The following is an 18,207-nucleotide window of genomic DNA, read 5'->3' as shown; positions in this document are numbered from 1 at the left end:
GGAATTACTGGAGTAATTTCTGTTTTTCTACATCTGTGTTCTCTCAATTATTTATATTCTAACAATATATTTTGAATTTATAAGGAAACAATAGTTTTTAAAATAAAGAACATAATAAACATTCTTATAAATGGGCAAAGACATAAACAATATATACCAAAAATATAAATAATAAATATAAGAAAAACAGTTTGAGCTTCCTAATAGTTATGCAAATTCAGAACTGCAGAATGGCATGCCATTTCCACATATCAACTGTCAAAAAATGTTAAAAACATATGTACTGCAAAGATGGTGAGATAACATATCTTTTGCACCTTTACCACTGGGAATTAATTAGGCAAATCCTAGCAAGTACATTAAAAATGCCGTTTTGTTTTTGTTTTTGTTTTTTGTGTTTTTTTTTAAGAAATTCACATTCACATTCAGGAATTGGCATTAAGACAACAATCAGGGCTGGGCGTAGTGGCTCACACCTGTAATCCTAGCACTTTGGGAGGCCGAGGTGGGTGGATTGCCTGAGGTCAGGAGTTTGAGACCGGACTTGGAAACACAGTGAAACCCTGTCTCTACTAAAATATAAAAAAATTAGTTGGGTGTGGTGGCATGTGCCTGTAATCCCAGCTACTTGGGAGGCTGAGGCAGGAGAATCACCTGAACCCGGGAGGCAGAGGGTGCAGTGAGCTGAGATCGTGCCATTGCACTCCAGCCTGGGCAACAGTGTGAGACTCTGTCTGAAAAAAAAAAGAAAAAGAAAAAGAAAACAATTGGACTTTAGACAATAATTTATTTATGGAGATGTTTATCATTGCATCATTTGAAGATCACTTAAAATTTTAAAATGAAAGAAAATTAGTAAACAGTGCTTTGTAAAATAATTAAAAATTATGTTTCTATAGAATTTATGGAGTCAGCAAGGTCTAGCAACCAGAACAGCATCAAGGTTTGGCAAATTAAATGTGGAATAAAGGTGGACAAGGCTTGAGGTGCATAGAACAAGTTAAAATGGGAAGAATCGGCTCCATTTTTGCTACTTTAGAGTGTATAAGGAGGCAGATTCTTTAGTAACATAAACAAATTACTTAAGAACCCCTTGTTCTGTTACCCAGGGAGTTGGTTTGACCTGTGGACTTTCCACCTACATAACCTCTAATCTGGTCATTATTGCTGTTTGTAGAAGCAGAATTTCAGAGGAATAAAGAGAAAAATTCAGCAGTATTTGGAAGCCTCAACTTAGAAAAAGAAGGGTCCAACTACTTCTCGTTGATAGGAAATATTTCAGAACTAGAGTGATATATGTGTGTTTTTGTGAATTTATGTATATATGGTATTTATTCATAAAATATTTTATTCATATGAAAAAGGCAGAACCCAAGCTCACTATCATCAAAATAAAGTTACCTCTGAGTTTGCCATTCTTCATTTGGCTTCAGGGTGACATTAATCCATAGGTGGCTAGTGGCAAGATACATAAAGAGATGGAATACCCTGACTTAACTCTCACATATTGTCTATACAATAAATTGTGCTAAGCAGAACCAAAACTAATGGTAGAGATAATTGGTAAGAAAGCCAGTTTCACTGAGTAAGAAACACTGGTGAGGAGGGGGCAATCACTGAAAGGTGAATGATGCTATTCTTTGGCTTTGAGTTCCAAAATGCACTGTGAGATCTAATGTTCCTAAATGATGCATTCCAGCTGGAAAACAAAACCAAATGTAAGGATAATAGGACAGTTGTCCTTTTCAGAAGCTCTCAAGGATTTTTAAAAATCTGTAATGACAAATCTTTGCTTTGTTAACTGTGTTCGTCATTTTGACTTAAGAAATATTGCGATAGACGGCCGGGTGCAGTGGCTCAAGCCTGTAATCCCAACACTTTGGGAGGCCGAGGCGGACAGATCACGAGGTCAGGAGATCGAGACCATCCTGGCTAACAAGGTGAAACCCCGTCTCTACTAAAAATACAAAAATTATCCAGGCGTGGTGGTGGGCACCTGTAGTCCCAGCTACTCGGGAAGCTGAGGAGGGAGAATGGCGTGAACCCAGGAGGCGGAGCCTACAGTGAGCCGAGATTGTGCCACTGAACTCCAGCCTGGGTGACAGAGCAAGACTCCATCCCCCAAAAAAGAGAAAGAAAGAAAGAAAGAAATATTGCGATAGACACAGAAAAAAAAATAGATTTTTATTTAGGGTTTCAGCTTGAGGATGAGTTAGTGATGAATTAATTGAGAAACAAAACACCCAAGATTTTCAATCCTTCAAACAGCAACATGAAAGGAAACTGCTCAAGGCTAGGGAGCTCCGTCAGAAAAGAATTAGAATTAACAGTGTATGAGCCTAACATAGACTGAGAGTAATGTCTCTTTCCAACAGCCATATTGGAAAACTTCATAATTCGTAAGGCTTTGGGTATAGTAACATCAAAAGGTTTTCCTGAATCTTGGGGAACAATTAGCCTTAGAATGAGCACTGTTCTGGTGTAGCCTAAAAAAAGATATTAACATCTAAGCAGATGAACTAAATCTCAGAACATGTGAATCAAAAATATGAAGTTAAAAAATACACTGGTCCTGAAGAGAGAAAATTCAAAATGGCTGGCACTCAATACCAGGAACACAAAGAAGTAGGAAATGTAGCATCTAATGAAGAAGATAATCAATACATCAAAATTAACCCAGAATGGACACACATATTATTATTCACAAAAAGTAATATTAGAAACGCTATCAGAACTCTATTCTGTATGTTTTAAACTTTCAGTAGAGACATCAAAGTTATTCAAAAATCAAAACCAAACTGTCAGACATGAAAACTACAATGAATGAGATGAAATTACACTAGATGGAATCAAGTGTAATGGAATGACAGATTAAACATTCCATGAAAAAATTAGTGAATTAAAAATCATAGCAATAGGAACTCCAAATCAAACACATAAGAGAAAAACAATTTATGAAGAATTTATGAAGAACCCATTTCCCTCAAATAACTGAAGATGTAATGGTAAAAATTTGTCAAAATTTGATGAAAAATGTAAACTCATAGGTCCAAGAACCCTAATGAACCCAATAACAAGAAATGAAAAAAAAGAACAAACAAAGCATCTCATAATCAAAATATTCAAACTCAGTGATAAAGAGAAAAGTTAAGAGTAGCCAGAGAGAAATAGACACATTCCACACATAGCAACAAAGACAAGAATGGTAGTAGAGAGCTCACTGCAAAAGTGCAAGGGAGAAGACAGCAAAATCGTTAAAATACTCAAAGAGAGAAAAAAACTGTAGACATAGAATTTCATACATATCGAAAACACATTTCATAGAGAAAAGGTGAAATGAAGACTTTTTTCCCACATACAAACGCTGAATGAGGGAAGTGACTTCATGGAAACTGGAGTAGCTCAAGAATTGGCCCCTTTAGTGAAGCAACAATGAGGCTGGCAACACTGAATCAACTTTTTCAGAATTTTGGAAGCTAGTTAAAAATAATAATAATAATAATAATAAAATAAATAAAACAACTTACAGCAATCAGGATTATTTAATGAAGAAAGAGATGGCTAAATTTTGGTTATAAAGCATCATGGACTTTTTGCTTATCAACAGACCATCCCTCATTCACCAGATCTACAGAAGGCATGGAGACAGTGTTCCTAGTGTGGACTGGTGGTGTTGGGGGAAAAAATATGGACCTTGTGGCCAGGCGTGGTGGCTCACGCCTGTAATCCCAACACTCCGGGAGGCCGAGGCGGACGGATCAGGAGGTCAGGAAATCGAGACCATCCTGGCTAACACGGTGAAACCCCGTCTCTACAAAAAAATACAAACAATTAGAAGGGCGTGGTGGCGGGCGTCTGTAGTCCCAGCTACTCGGGAGGCTGAGGCAGGAGAATGGTGTGAACCCGGGAGACGGAGCTTGCAGTGAGCTGAGATCACGCCACTGCATTCCAGCCTGGGCGACAGAGAGAGACACTGTCTCAAAAAAATAAATAAATAAAAATGGACCTTGCGATACATATTTACGAAAAAGATGGCTGTGTGTTTTAACCTGCCAGGCAGTTCCTTGATGGAGCAGTGCAGAAACTGGCATTTGTTTTGCCCACCATGGCCAGAAAGTGATTTTTTAAAAACCTGCAAAAGGATTGAAAATTGCAAATCATACATTGATAAGGATCAAATATACAGAATATATAATGAATGTGTTAGTCTGTGTGGATTGCTACAGCAAAATACCATAAACTGCATAGCTAATAAACAATAGAAATGTGTTTCTCACAGTTCTGGAGACTGAAAAGTCCAGTATGAAGGCATCAGCGGATTTGGCGTCTGGTGAGGACTCACTTTCTGGTTCATAGATGGTGCCTTCTAGCTCCCTCCTCACATGGTGGAAGGAATGAATAGCTCTCATGGACCTCTTTTATAATGGAAGTAATCCCATTCCCTGAGTGTTCTATCCTCATGACCTAATCATCAATCAAAGGCTGTATGTTCTAATACCATCATCTTGGGGATTAGAATTTTGACATATGAATCAAGGTGGGAAAACAAATATTCAGACCATAGTAAGGAACCTTTACAATTCAATGGAAGAAAAAGAGAATTGGTAAGTAATGTGAATAGAAAGTTCTCCAAAGTATCTATATGAATGGCAAATAAGCATACGAAACAATGTTAAAAATATTTCATTTTTAGAGAAATGCAAATCAAAATCACAATGAGATGTCACTTTATACCACTAGGATAGTGACAATTAAAAAAAGGAAAAACATAACCAGTGTTGAAGATGTGGAGAGACTGTAACCCTTGTAAATCAATGGTGGAAATGTGTGGCATTTCCTGCCAAAGTAAAACAGAATGGCCCATGGAATATGATCTAGCAATTCCACTCCTAGGGATGTGGCCTCCAATATTGAGAACAGGCACTAAACTACTTACATGTAAATGAATTCTATATCCCAGAAATTCTATATCCGGGCCATGTGTGGCTCATGCCTGTAATACCAGCACTTTGGGAGGTCGATGAGGGCAGATTGCTAGAGCTCAGGAATTCCAGACCAGCCTGGGCATCATGGTGAAACCCAGTATCTACCAAAAACACAAAAAATCAACTGGGTGTGGTGCTGTGTGCCTGCAGTCCCAGCTACTCAAGAGGAGGTGGGAGGATCACTTGAGCCTCAGTGGTGGAGGTTGCAGTGAGCCACAATCAAACCACTGCACTCCAGCCTGGGTGACAGAGTGAGATCCTGTCTCACAAAAAAGACAAGAAAAGAAGAGAGAAGAAATTCTATATCCTGTACAATTATCCATATAATGAAAGTGAAGTAGAAATAAAGACTTTCTCAGGTGAAGAAAAACTGGGAATTCATCACCAGCAGACCCCCATTGTAAAAAATGTTAAAATAATATTTCAAGGAGAAGGAAATCACTTAGAAACTCAGATCTAGATAAAGAAAGAAAATGTGTTAGAGAAGGGATACATGAAGGTAAAATAAAATTGTCTGTATTTCTTAGCTATCATTGATCTAAAATATAACTTTGTTTAAAGTAATGATAGTAGCAAGGTATTAGGTGATTATATGATTATTTTTCTTTTGTCTGTTGATGTGGTGCATTACATTAATTTACTGATTTTTCAAATATGGAAGGAGTCTTGCACATTTGGAATCAATCCATATTTGGAATCAATCCATATTTGGAATCAATCCCACTAGGTCATGGTGTATAATTCCTTATATATTGCTAGATTCAACTTGCTCGTATTTTGTTGAGATTATCTGCATCTGTATTAGAAGCAAATCATATCTCTGATAAGGGACTTGTACCTAGAATATAGAAAGAACTATTACAACAAAATGACATAAAGATGAATAACCAATTTTTTAAAAGGGCGAAGGATCTTAACACTTCCTCAGAGAAGAAACATAAATGGCTAATACACACATTAAAAAAATGTTCAACATCATTAGTCATTAGGACAGTGCAAATCAAAACCACAATGAGACAACTCTGCACATCCCCTGGGATGGCAACATTCAAAAGGACCCACTAGCATGTGTTGGTAAGGATGCAGAAAAATTGGACAACTTGTATGGTGCTTGTGAGAGTATGAAATTGTGTGCCCTCTTCTAAAAAGATTCTGGCATTTCCTCACCAGATGATAGAGTCACCAGATGATCCTGCGACTTTTCCTCACCATGAGAAAATAAATTTTCACACAAATACTTGCATATGAATACTTACAGCAGAAGTAATCACAAGCCAAAAGGCTTCAGAAATAACCCCAATGTCCAGCAATAAATGAATCGATGGTGATGTATATGTGCAATGGAATATTATTAAGCCATAAAATATAACAAAGTACTGATATATTCCATAATACAGAGGAATCTCAAAAATATTATGATCTGTGAAAGAAGCCAGACAGCAAAGTCCACATATTCTATGATTTAAGGCATGTAAAATAACCAGAATAAGTAAATTCATATAAGTCATTGGGAATGGGATGGAATTGCTTAATAAGAGGTTTTATTTTAGGGTGATGAAAATATTTTAGAACTAGATAGAGGTAGTAGTTTAATAATATTTTGAATTACTAAATGCAGTTGAGTTGTTCATTTTAAAATGGTTAATTTTAGGTTATATGAATTTCAACTCATTTTTTTAAGCTGAAAGAATTAATTACCAGCACACCTACAATTTTTAAAAATGTTAGAGAGAATCTTCTAATGTAGAAGAAAACTCATACCAAATGGAAATATGAAACGACACCAATGATTTTCAATTAGGGGCAATTTTGCCTCCCAAGGTATGTTTAGTAATGTCTGAAATTATTTTTGGCTGTCATGACGGGGGAGGAGGGTGATTTGTTACATGTATCCTGTGTGTAGAGGGCAGGAATAGAGCTAAAAATACCGCAATGAACAGTATAAAATCCCCTATATCAAAAAATAATTATTTATCCCACAGTGTGAATAGCGCCAAGGTTGTGAAAACATGATATATGCAAAGGGAAAAACAGCATGGGAAATGATAAGAATTTTTTTTTCAAAAAATTTAAATGTCTTGAAAATATAATTGATTAGTTAAACTACAGTAAAAACAAATATTGTTAATTATTGTAGAGGGGGGTATAGCATTTATAAAATAAAAAGTAAGAACACAGTGCAATGGTCAGAGGAGAAAAAAGAAAGCATACTATTACTAGGAACTATCCATAGTATACATAAGGTGGTATAATATCATTTTAAGGTAGTCTGTGATAAGGTAAACACGTATATTCTAAACTCTAAAGTAACCACTAAAATAGAGAGTTATATCTAATAAGTAAAGAAAAAAAGAAAATAACGAAAATAATACGTAGGAAGCAGAATTAAAGGGAAGATGGGGACAGACAGCAGACAGGACAAATAGAAAACAAATAGAAAGATGAAATATTCAAACTTTACCATGTCAGTATCACATGAAATATAAGTGGTTTAAATACCACAATTAAGGCCCAAACTGGAATTTCTAGTTTCAGCTCAGAGACTAATGGGAGCTAGGACAGTGGGAAGCCCCTGAGGGCCACAAACATGTGGGGAGTGGGATTGCCTCTGCTTGATGGATTTTCTGTCCCAGAAGTTCCTCTAGGAACTCCATTAGGTCTTGGCCAGGCGCGGTGGCTCACGCCTGTAATCCCAGCACTTTGGGAGGCCAAGGTGGGCGGATCATGATGTCAGGAGATGGAGACCATCCTGGCTAATACGGTGAAACTCCATCTCTACTAAAAACAAAAAAGTAGCCAGGCGTGGTGGAGGGCGCGTAGTCCCAGCTACTCCGGAGGCTGAGGCAGGAGAATGGCGTGAACCCGGGAGGCGGAGCTTGCAGTGAGCCGAGATCGTGCCACTGCACTCCAGCCTGGGTGACAGAGCGAGACGCTGTCTCAAAAAAAAAGAAAAGAAAAGAAGAAAAGAAAAGAAAAAAGAACTCCATTAGGTCTCATAGGGTACACTCCAGAGATTCCAGAAAAAGCTTCATGCTAGGTAAAGGAACAGTAGCCTCTAAATAAACATAAACCTCATGAATCCCCTAAGTAACAAATATAGATAAATCTACAGAGAAAAGGGCAACAAAAACTATAGCCATTGAGCACTCACAGAAAACCCATGGAGCTGGACGGGGGTAACAGCATAAATAAAGCCCTACCACTGGGGGGAGGGCCAGGAAAACACAGGAGGGAGGTTGGGAGTGCTAAGGATCAGCCAGATCAGTTAAGCAACAAAAATAAATAAAAGGGCATCCAATTTTTTTTTTTTTTTTTGAGACAGAGTCTCTCTCTGTTGCCCAGGCTGGAGTACAGTAGAGCAATCTCAGCTCACTGTAACCTCTGCCTCCTGGGTTCAAGCGATTCTCCTGCCTCAGCCTCCTGGGTAGGTGGGACTACAGGTATGGACCAGCACTCCCAGCTAATTTTGGCATTTTTAGTAGAGATGGGGTTTCACCATGTTTGGCCAGGCAGGTCTGAAACTCCTGACTTCAGGTGGTTTCACTTTGTTTGGCCAGGCTGGTCTCGAACTACCCACCTCGAGTGATCTTCCCAACTCGGCCTCCCAAAGTGCTGAGATTACAGGCATGACGCACCATGCCTGGCAGGCATTCAAATATTATAGGAAGAAAATTGTCTCTGTTTGCTGATGACATACTCTTATACATAGAAAACCCTAAAGAGGCTACCAAAAAAACTTTTAGAACTAATAAACAAATCTAGTAAAGTTGCAGGATACGAAATCAATGTGCAAAAATTAGTCTTGTTTCTGCACACTAACAATGAATGATCCAGGAGGAAAAATTAAGAAAACAATCCCATTTACAACAGCATCAAAAAATCATACTTAGGAGTAAATTCAACCAGAATGTGACAGATTTGCATACAGTAAACTATAAAACATTAATAAAAGACATTGAAGACAACACGAATAAATGAAAAGACCCCTTGTGTTCATGAATTGGAAGAATTAATGTTGCTAAAATATCAGGACACTATCCATAGCAATCTAGAGATTTAGAGCAATTGCTGTCAAAATTCCAATGTCATTTTTCACTGAAATAGACAAAACAATCCCCAAATTCATAGGGAACCACAAAAGACCTTGAGCAGCCAGAGTAATCTTGAGCAGCATGAACAAAGCTGGAGGCATCACATTACCTGATTTCAAAATATATTACAAATCTGTAGTAATCGAAAGGGCATGGCATAGAAACAGACACATCAACCAAAGGAACAAGATAGCCTAGAAGGCCGGGCGTGGTGGCTCACGCCTGTAATCCCATCACTTTGGTAGGCAGAGGCAGGCAGATCACAAGGTCAGGAGATTAGGACAATCCTGGCTAACACAGTGAAACCCCGTCTCTACTAAAACTACAAAAAAAAAAAAAAAAAAAGCCTAGAAATAAACACATGCATCCATGGTCAATTGATTTTTGAAAAAGTTTCTAACACCACACACGGGAAAAGAGTCTGTTCAATAAAGCGTGTTGAGAAAACCAGGTAGCTATATGCAGAAAACAAAATTGGACTCGTTTCTCACCCTTTTACAAAAAAAAAAATCGAAATGGATTAAACACTTAAACATGAGACCTGAATATGTAAAGCTACTAGAAGAAAACATAGAGGAAAACCTCCATGACGTGGGTCTGGGAAAGGGTTTCTTGGACATGACCCCAAAAGCACAGGCAAGCAAAAATATGCAAATGGGATTGCATCACATTAAAAAGCTTCTGCACAGCAAAGGAAAAATTTAACAGAGTGAAGAGACAACCACTGGATTGGAAGAAAACACAGGTGCTCCTCAACTTATCATGGAGTTACATTTGGATAAACCTGTCATAAATTGAAAATGAAAATTGGAAATGTTGTAAGAAATGCATTTAATACAACTGACCTACCTTAAACATGCTCAGAACACCTATATTAATCTGAGCAAAATCATCTGGCAACACAGTCCACTGTGGAGCATTTTTTTTTTAATCCTCATGATCATGTGATAAATGAGAGCAGCATCTCATTGCTACTGCCCAGCATAGTGAGAGTATTGTACCACATATTGCTAGCATGGGGAAAGATTGAAAGTTAAAATTCAGGCCGGGCGCAGTGGCTCATGCCTGTAATCCCAGCCCTTTGGGAGGCCGAGGTGGGCGGATCACAAGGTCAGGAGATCGAGACCATCCTGGCTAACATGGTGAAACCCCGTCTCTACTAAATATACAAAAAATTAGCCGGGCATGGTGGCAGGCGCCTGTAGTCCCAGCTACTCAGGAGGCTGAGGCAGGAGAATGGCGTGAACCCAGGAGGCTGAGGTTGCAGTGAACCGAGATCGCGCCACTGCACTCCAGCCTGGGAGACAGAGCAAGACTCCATCTCAAAAAAAAAAAAAAAAGTTAAAATTCAAAGTAAGATTTCTACAGAGTGTGTATTGCTTTCACATCACTGTAAAGTTGAAAAATCTGGACCATCACAAGACAGGACTGTCTGTATTTGCAAACCATACATTAATAAGGGGTTGATATCCAAAATATACAAGGAACATAACTCAGTAGCAAGAAAACAAGTAGCTCAATTAAAAAATGAGCAAATGATCTGAATAGACGTTTCTCAAAAGAAGATAAATGGCCGACAAACATAGGAAGAAATGCTCAATATCAGCAATCATCAGGAAAATGCAAATTTAAGCCACAATGACATATCGCCACATATGTTAGAATGTTTTTCATAGAAAAGCCAAGTGATAACAAGTGTTGGCGAAAATGTGGAGAAAAGGGAACCCTTGTACACTGTCAGTGGGAATGTAAATTAGTGCAGACATACGGAAAACAGTATGGACATTCTACAAAAAGTTAAAAATAGAACTACCATATCATGCAGCAATGCTACTACCGAGTATATATCCAAAGAAAATGAAATCAATAGGTTTAAGCGGTATCTGCACTGCCATGTATCAACTTAACTATCCATCAACAGATGAATGCATAAAGAAAATGTGGTATATATACACAATGAAATATTATTTATCCTTTCAAATGAAGGAAATTCTGTCATTAGCAACAACATGGATGAACCTAGAGAAGAGAACATAAAATAAGTGAAATATGCCAAACACAGAAAGACAAATACTATATTATCTCACTTATACAAGAAATCTTAAAAAGTTGAACTCATAGGATCGCTTGAAACTGGGAGGCAGAGCTTGCTGTGAGCTGAGATCGCGCCACTGCACTCCAGCCTGGGCAACAGAGCGAGAGTCCATCTCAAAAACAACAACAAAAAAAAAAACAAAAAGAAAACAGAGGGGTCAATTTCTATGTTTATCCAAAAAACAATCTATAGGAGTATTGGATTGGCTTCAAGTCTTCCCTTAACCAGACTAACAAGCATTAAGTAAAAGTAGTAGAGCAATAGAGCTGAGAGAACTGCAAGAGACAAATTCTTACAAGGGAACAGTGCAAATGGAATACTCAATGCTGAGGAGGAAAATGCAAAACAAAGTAGGGAGTAGACATTGAGTAAAACCTTATGATAAATAAGCCTGTATTCTAAACACAAGGTATCACAAGAGAAATAGGGATTCTTCACTGTATTCTATACAGTGAGGGTATAGCAAGAACATAGGCATGGTCTGTACAGAGGATCAAAGATAAGAATTATAGTAGATTTCTTGTCATAAACTACACAGGAAAGAAGACAATGGAGTGCTATCTTTAAATGCTGAAAGTAAATATACTGTCAATCCAGGATTCTTTTATTCCATTATTTTACATAGTAAGAAAATGCTTCAAAAATGAAGGTTAGAAAAGACATTCTCAAAACAAAAGCTGAAGAAATTGATTAACAGAAGACCCACTATATAAGAAATAAGAAACATTCAATGGAGTTCTTTTTATTTATTTATATTTTTTTATTTTTTTATTATTATACTTTAAGTTTTAGGGTACATGTGCACAATGTGCAGGTTTGTTACATATGTATACATGTGCCATGCTGGTGCGCTGCACCCACTAACTCGTCATCTAGCATTAGGAATATCTCCCAGTGCTATCCCTCCCCCCTCCCCCCACCCCACAACAGGCCCCAGAGTGTGATATTCCCCTTCCTGTGTCCATGTGTTCTCATTGTCCAATTCCCACCTATCAGTGAGAATATGTGGTGCTTGATTTTTTGTTCTCGCGATAGTTTACTGAGAATGATGATTTCCAATTTCATCCATGTCCCTACAAAGGACATGAACTCATCATTTTTTATGGCTGCATAGTATTCCATGGTGTATATGTGCCACATTTTCTTAATCCAGTCTATCATTGTTGGACATTTGGGTTGGTTCCAAGTCTTTGCTATTGTGAATAATGCTGCAATAGACATACGTGTGCATGTGTCTTTATAGCAGCATGATTTATAGTCCTTTGGGTATATACCTAGTAATGGAATGGCTGGGTCAAATGGTGTTTCTAGTTCTAGATCCCTGAGGAATCGCCACACTGACTTCCACAATGGTTGAACTAGTTTACAGTCCCACCAACAGTGTAAAAGTGTTCCTATTTCTCCACATCCTCTCCAGCACCTGTTGTTTCCTGACTTTTTAATGATTGCCATTCTAACTGGTATGAGATGGTATCTCATTGTGGTTTTGATTTGCATTTCTCTGATGGCCAGTGATGGTGAGCATTTTTTCATGTGTTTTTTGGCTGCATAAATGTCTTCTTTTGAGAAGTGTCTGTTCATGTCTTTTGCCCACTTTTTGATGGGGTTGTTTGTTTTTTTCTTGTAATGAGTTCATTGTAGATTCCGGATATTAGCCCTTTGTCAGATGAGTAGGTTGTGAAAATTTTCTCCCATTTTGTAGGTTGCCTGTTCACTCTGATGGTAGTTTCTTTTGCTGTGCAGAAGCTCTTTAGTTTAATTAGATCCCATTTGTCAATTTTGGCTTTTGTTGCCATTGCTTTTGGTGTTTTAGACATGAAGTCCTTGCCCATGCCTATGTCCTGAATGGTAGAGCCTAGGTTTTCTTCTAGGGTTTTTATGGTTTTAGGTCTAACATTTAAGTCTTTAATCCATCTTGAATTGATTTTTGTATAAGGTGTAAGGAAGGGATCCAGTTTCAGCTTTCTACATATGGCTAGCCAGTTTTCCCAGCACCATTTATTAAATAGGGAATCCTTTCCCCATTGCTTGTTTTTCTCAGGTTTGTCAAAGATCAGATAGTTGTAGATATGCAACGTTATTTCCGAGGGCTCTGTTCTGTTCCATTGATCTATATCTCTGTTTTGGTACCAGTACCATGCTGTTTTGGTTACTGTAGCCTTGTAGTATAGTTTGAAGTCAGGTAGTGTGATGCCTCCAGCTTTGTTCTTTTGGCTTAGGATTGACTTGGCAATGCGGGCTCTTTTTTGATTCCACATGAACTTTAAAGTAGTTTTTTCCAATTCTGTGAAGAAAGTCATTGGTAGCTTGATGGGGATGGCATTGAATCTGTAAATTACCTTGGGCAGTATGGCCATTTTCACGATATTGATTCTTCCTACCCATGAGCATGGAATGATCTTCCATTTGTTTGTATCCTCTTCTATTTCCTTGAGCAGTAGTTTGTAGTTCTCCTTGAAGAGGTCTTTCACATCCCTTGTAAGTTGGATTCCTAGATATTTTATTCTCTTTGAAGCAATTGTGAATGGGAGTTCACTCATGATTTGGCTCTCTGTTTGTCTGTTGTTGGTGTATAAGAATGCTTGTGATTTTTGTACATTGATTTTGTATCCTGAGACTTTGCTGAAGTTGCTTATCAGCTTAAGGAGATTTTGGGCTGAGACAATGGGGTTTTCTAGATATACAATCATGTCATCTGCAAATAGGGACAATTTGACTTCCTCTTTTCCTAATTGAATACCCTTTATTTCCTTCTCCTGCCTAATTGCCCTGGCCAGAACTTCCAACACTATGTTGAATAGGAGTGGTGAGAGAGGGCATCCCTGTCTTATGCCAGTTTTCAAAGGGAATGCTTCCAGTTTTTGCCCATTCAGTATGATATTGGCCGTGGGTTTGTCATAGATAGCTCTTATTATTTTGAAATACGTCCCATCAATACCTAATTTATTGAGAGTTTTTAGCATGAAGGGTTGTTGAATTTTGTCAAAGGCCTTTTCTGCTTCTATTGAGATAATCATGTGGTTTTTGTCTTTGGTTCTGTTTATATGCTGGATTACATTTATTGATTTGCGTATATTGAACCAGCCTTGCATCCCAGGGATGAAGCCCACTTGATCATGGTGGATAAGCTTTTTGATGTGCTGCTGGATTCGGTTTGCCAGTATTTTATTGAGGATTTTTGCATCAGTGTTCGTCAAGGATATTGGTCTAAAATTCTCTTTTTTGGTTGTGTCTCTGCCCAGCTTTGGTATCAGGATGATGCTGGCCTCATAAAATGAGTTAGGGAGGATTCCCTCTTTTTCTATTGATTGGAATAGTTTCAGAAGGAATGGTACCAGTTCCTCCTTGTACCTCTGGTAGAATTCGGCTGTGAATCTATCTGGTCCTGGACTCTTTTTGGTTGGTAAGCTATTGATTATTGCCACAATTTCAGATCCTGTTATTGGTCTATTCAGAGATTCAACTTCTTCCTGGTTTAGTCTTGGGAGAGTGTATGTGTCGAGGAATTTATCCATTTCTTCTAGATTTTCTAGTTTATTTGCGTAGAGGTGTTTGTAGTATTCTCTGATGGTAGTTTGTATTTCTGTGGGATCGGTGGTGATATCTCCTTTATCATTTTTTATTGCATCTATTTGATTCTTCTCTCTTTTTTTCTTTATTAGTCTTGCTAGTGGTTTATCAATTTTGTTGATCCTTTCAAAAAACCAGCTCCTGGATTCATTAATTTTTTGAAGGGTTTTTTGTGTCTTTATTTCCTTCAGTTCTGCTCTGATTTTAGTTATTTCTTGCCTTCTGATAGCTTTTGAATGTGTTTGCTCTTGCTTTTCTAGTTCTTTTAATTGTGATGTTAGGGTGTCAATTTTGGATCTTTCCTGCTTTCTCTTGTGGGCATTTAGTCCTATAAATTTCCCTGTACACACTGCTTTGAATGCATCCCAGAGATTCTGGCATGTTGTGTCTTTGTTCTCATTGGTTTCAAAGAACATCTTTATTTCTGCCTTCATTTCATTATGTACCCAGTAGTCATTCAGCAGCAGGTTGTTCAGTTTCCTTGTAGTTGAGCGGTTTTGAGTGAGATTCTTAATCCTGAGTTCTAGTTTGATTGTACTGTGGTCTGAGAGATAGTTTGTTATAATTTCTGTTCTTTTACATTTGCTGAGGAGAGCTTTACTTCCAACTATGTGGTCAATTTTGGAATAGGTGTGGTGTGGTGCTGAAAAAAATGTATATTCTGTTGATTTGGGGTGGAGAGTTCTGTAGATGTCTATTAGGTCCGCTTGGTGCAGAGCTGAGTTCAATTCCTGGGTATCCTTGTTGACTTTCTGTCTTGTTGATCTGTCTAATGTTGACAGTGGGGTGTTAAAGTCTCCCATTATTAATGTGTGGGAGTCTAAGTCTCTTTGTAGGTCACTCAGGACTTGCTTTATGAATCTGGGTGCTCCTATATTGGGTGCATATATATTTAGGATAGTTAGCTCTTCTTGTTGAATTGATCCCTTCACCATTATGTAGTGGCCTTCTTTGTCTCTTTTGATCTTTGTTGGTTTAAAGCCTGTTTTATCAGAGACTAGGATTGCAACCCCTGCCTTTTTTTGTTTTCCATTTGCTTGGTAGATCTTCCTCCATCCTTTTATTTTGAGCCTATGTGTGTCTCTGCATGTGAGATGGGTTTCCTGAATACAGCACACTGATGGGTCTTGACTCTTTATCCAATTTGCCAGTCTGTGTCTTTTAATTGGAGCATTTAGTCCATTTACATTTAAAGTTAATATTGTTATGTGTGAATTTGATCCTGTCATTATGATGTTAGCTGGTTATTTTGCTCATTAGTTGATGCAGTTTCTTCCTAGTCTTGATGGTCTTTACATTTTGGCATGATTTTGCAGTGGCTGGTACTGGTTGTTCCTTTCCATGTTTAGCGCTTCCTTCAGGAGCTCTTTTAGGGCAGGCCTGGTGGTGACAAAATCTCTCAGCATTTACTTGTCTGTAAAGTATTTTATTTCTCCTTCACTTATGAAGCTTAGTTTGGCTGGATATGAAATTCTGGGTTGAAAATTCTTTTCTTTAAGAATGTTGAATATTGGCCCCCACCCTCTTCTGGCTTGTAGAGTTTCTGCCGAGAGATCCGCTGTTAGTCTGATGGGCTTCCCTTTGTGGGTAACCCGACCTTTCTCTCCTCTGGCTGCCCTTAATATTTTTTCCTCATTTCAACCTTGGTGAATCTGACAATTATGTGTCTTGGAGTTGCTCTTCTCGAGGAGTATCTTTGTGGCGTTCTCTGTATTTCCTGAATCTGAATGTTGGCCTGCCTTGCTAGATTGGGGACGTTCTCCTAGATAATATCCTGCAGAGTGTTTTCCAACTTGGTTCCATTCTCCCCGTCACTTTCAGGTACACCAATCAGACGTAGATTCGGTCTTTTCACATAGTCCCATATTTCTTGGAGGATTTGCTCATTTCTTTTTATTCTTTTTTCTCTAAACTTCCCTTCTCGCTTCATTTCATTCATTTCATCTTCCATCGCTGATACCCTTTCTTCCAGTTGATCACATCGGCTCCTGAGGCTTCTGCATTCTTCACGTAGTTCTTGAGCCTTGGTTTTCAGCTCCATCAGCTCCTTTAAGCATTTCTCTGTATTGGTTATTCTAGTTATACATTCTTCTAAATTTTTTTCAAAGATTTTAACTTCTTTGCCTTTGGTTTGAATGTCCTCCTGTAGCTCGGAGTAATTTGATCGTCTGAAGCCTTCTTCTCTCAGCTCGTCAAAGTCATTCTCCGTCCAGCTTTGTTCTGTTGCTGGTGAGGAACTGCATTCCTCTGAAGGAGGAGAGGTGCCCTGCTTTTTAGAGTTTCCAGTTTTTCTGCTCTGTTTTTTCCCCATCTTTGTGGTTTTATCTACTTTTGGTCTTTGATGATGGTGATGTACAGATGGGTTTTTGATGTGGATGTCCTTTCTGTTTGTTAGTTTTCCTTCTAACAGACAGGACCCTCAGCTGCAGGTCTGTTGGAGTACCCTGCCATGTGAGGTGTCAGTGTGCCCCTGCTGGGGGGTGCTTCCCAGTTAGGCTGCTCGGGGGTCAGGGGTCAGGGACCCACTTGAGGAGGCAGTCTGCCCGTTCTCAGATCTCCAGCTGCGTACTGGGAGAACCACTGCTCTCTTCAAAGCTGTCAGACAGGGACATTTAAGTCTGCAGAGGTTACTGCTGTCTTTTTGTTTGTCTGTGCCCTGCCCCCAGAGGTGGAGCCTACAGAGGCAGGCAGGCCTCCTTGAGCTGTGGTGGGCTCCACCCAGTTCCAGCTTCCCTGCTGCTTTGTTTACCTAAGCAAGCCTGGGCAATGGAGGGCGCCCCTCCCCCAGCCTCGCTGCCGCTTTGCTGTTTGATCTCAGAAGGCTGTGCTAGCAATCAGCGAGACTCCATGGGTGTAGGACCCTCCGATTCAGGTGCGGGATATGATCTCCTGGTGCGCCGTTTTTTAAGCCCGTCGGAAAAGCTCAGTATTCGGGTGGGAGTGACCCGATTTTCCAGGTGCCGTCTGTCACCCCTTTCTTTGACTAGGAAAGGGAACTCCCTGACCCCTTGCGCTTCCCTAGTGAGGCAATGCCTCGCCCTGCTTCCGCTCGCCCACGGTGCGCGCACCCACCGACCTGCGCCCACTGTCTGGCACTCCCTAATGAGATGAACCCCGTACCTCAGATGGAAATGCAGAAATCACCCGTCTTCTGCGTCGCTCACACTGGGAGCTGTAGACCGGAGCTGTTTCTATTCGGCCATCTTGGCTCCTCCTCAATGGAGTTCTTAACACTGAAGGAACATGATCAATGTCAAACATTTGAATGTAGGCAAATAGGTAAGAGTTTTGGAAACAGAATAAATACAGGTAAATGAAACCTTTTTTTCTTATTTTTATATTCTGACACATAACCTGCATTTTAAAGCAAAAATAGTAACCATGTTTTATCTGTTCATAGCATATATATATAAATAATTTTATATATAAAAATATTCATAGCATATATATAGCATATATATAATTT

The 18,207-nt window shown here is 38.9% G+C and overlaps 1 annotated feature.

Annotated features, from left to right (window-relative positions):
• Positions 17,040 to 17,650: an enhancer, noted in NCBI's record as "H3K27ac-H3K4me1 hESC enhancer chr15:23959525-23960135 (GRCh37/hg19 assembly coordinates)". NCBI's record gives its function as "activates a minimal SCP1, AML or CMV promoter by ChIP-STARR-seq in naive H9 embryonic stem cells {active_cell/tissue: H9 hESC(naive)}" and the evidence as "EXISTENCE:reporter gene assay evidence [ECO:0000049][PMID:30033119]".

The sequence above is a fragment of the Homo sapiens genome, chromosome 15 (genome assembly GCF_000001405.40).
Source record: "Homo sapiens chromosome 15, GRCh38.p14 Primary Assembly".
Taxonomy (NCBI): domain Eukaryota; kingdom Metazoa; phylum Chordata; class Mammalia; order Primates; family Hominidae; genus Homo; species Homo sapiens.
This window is presented reverse-complemented; position numbering and strand designations above follow the sequence as displayed.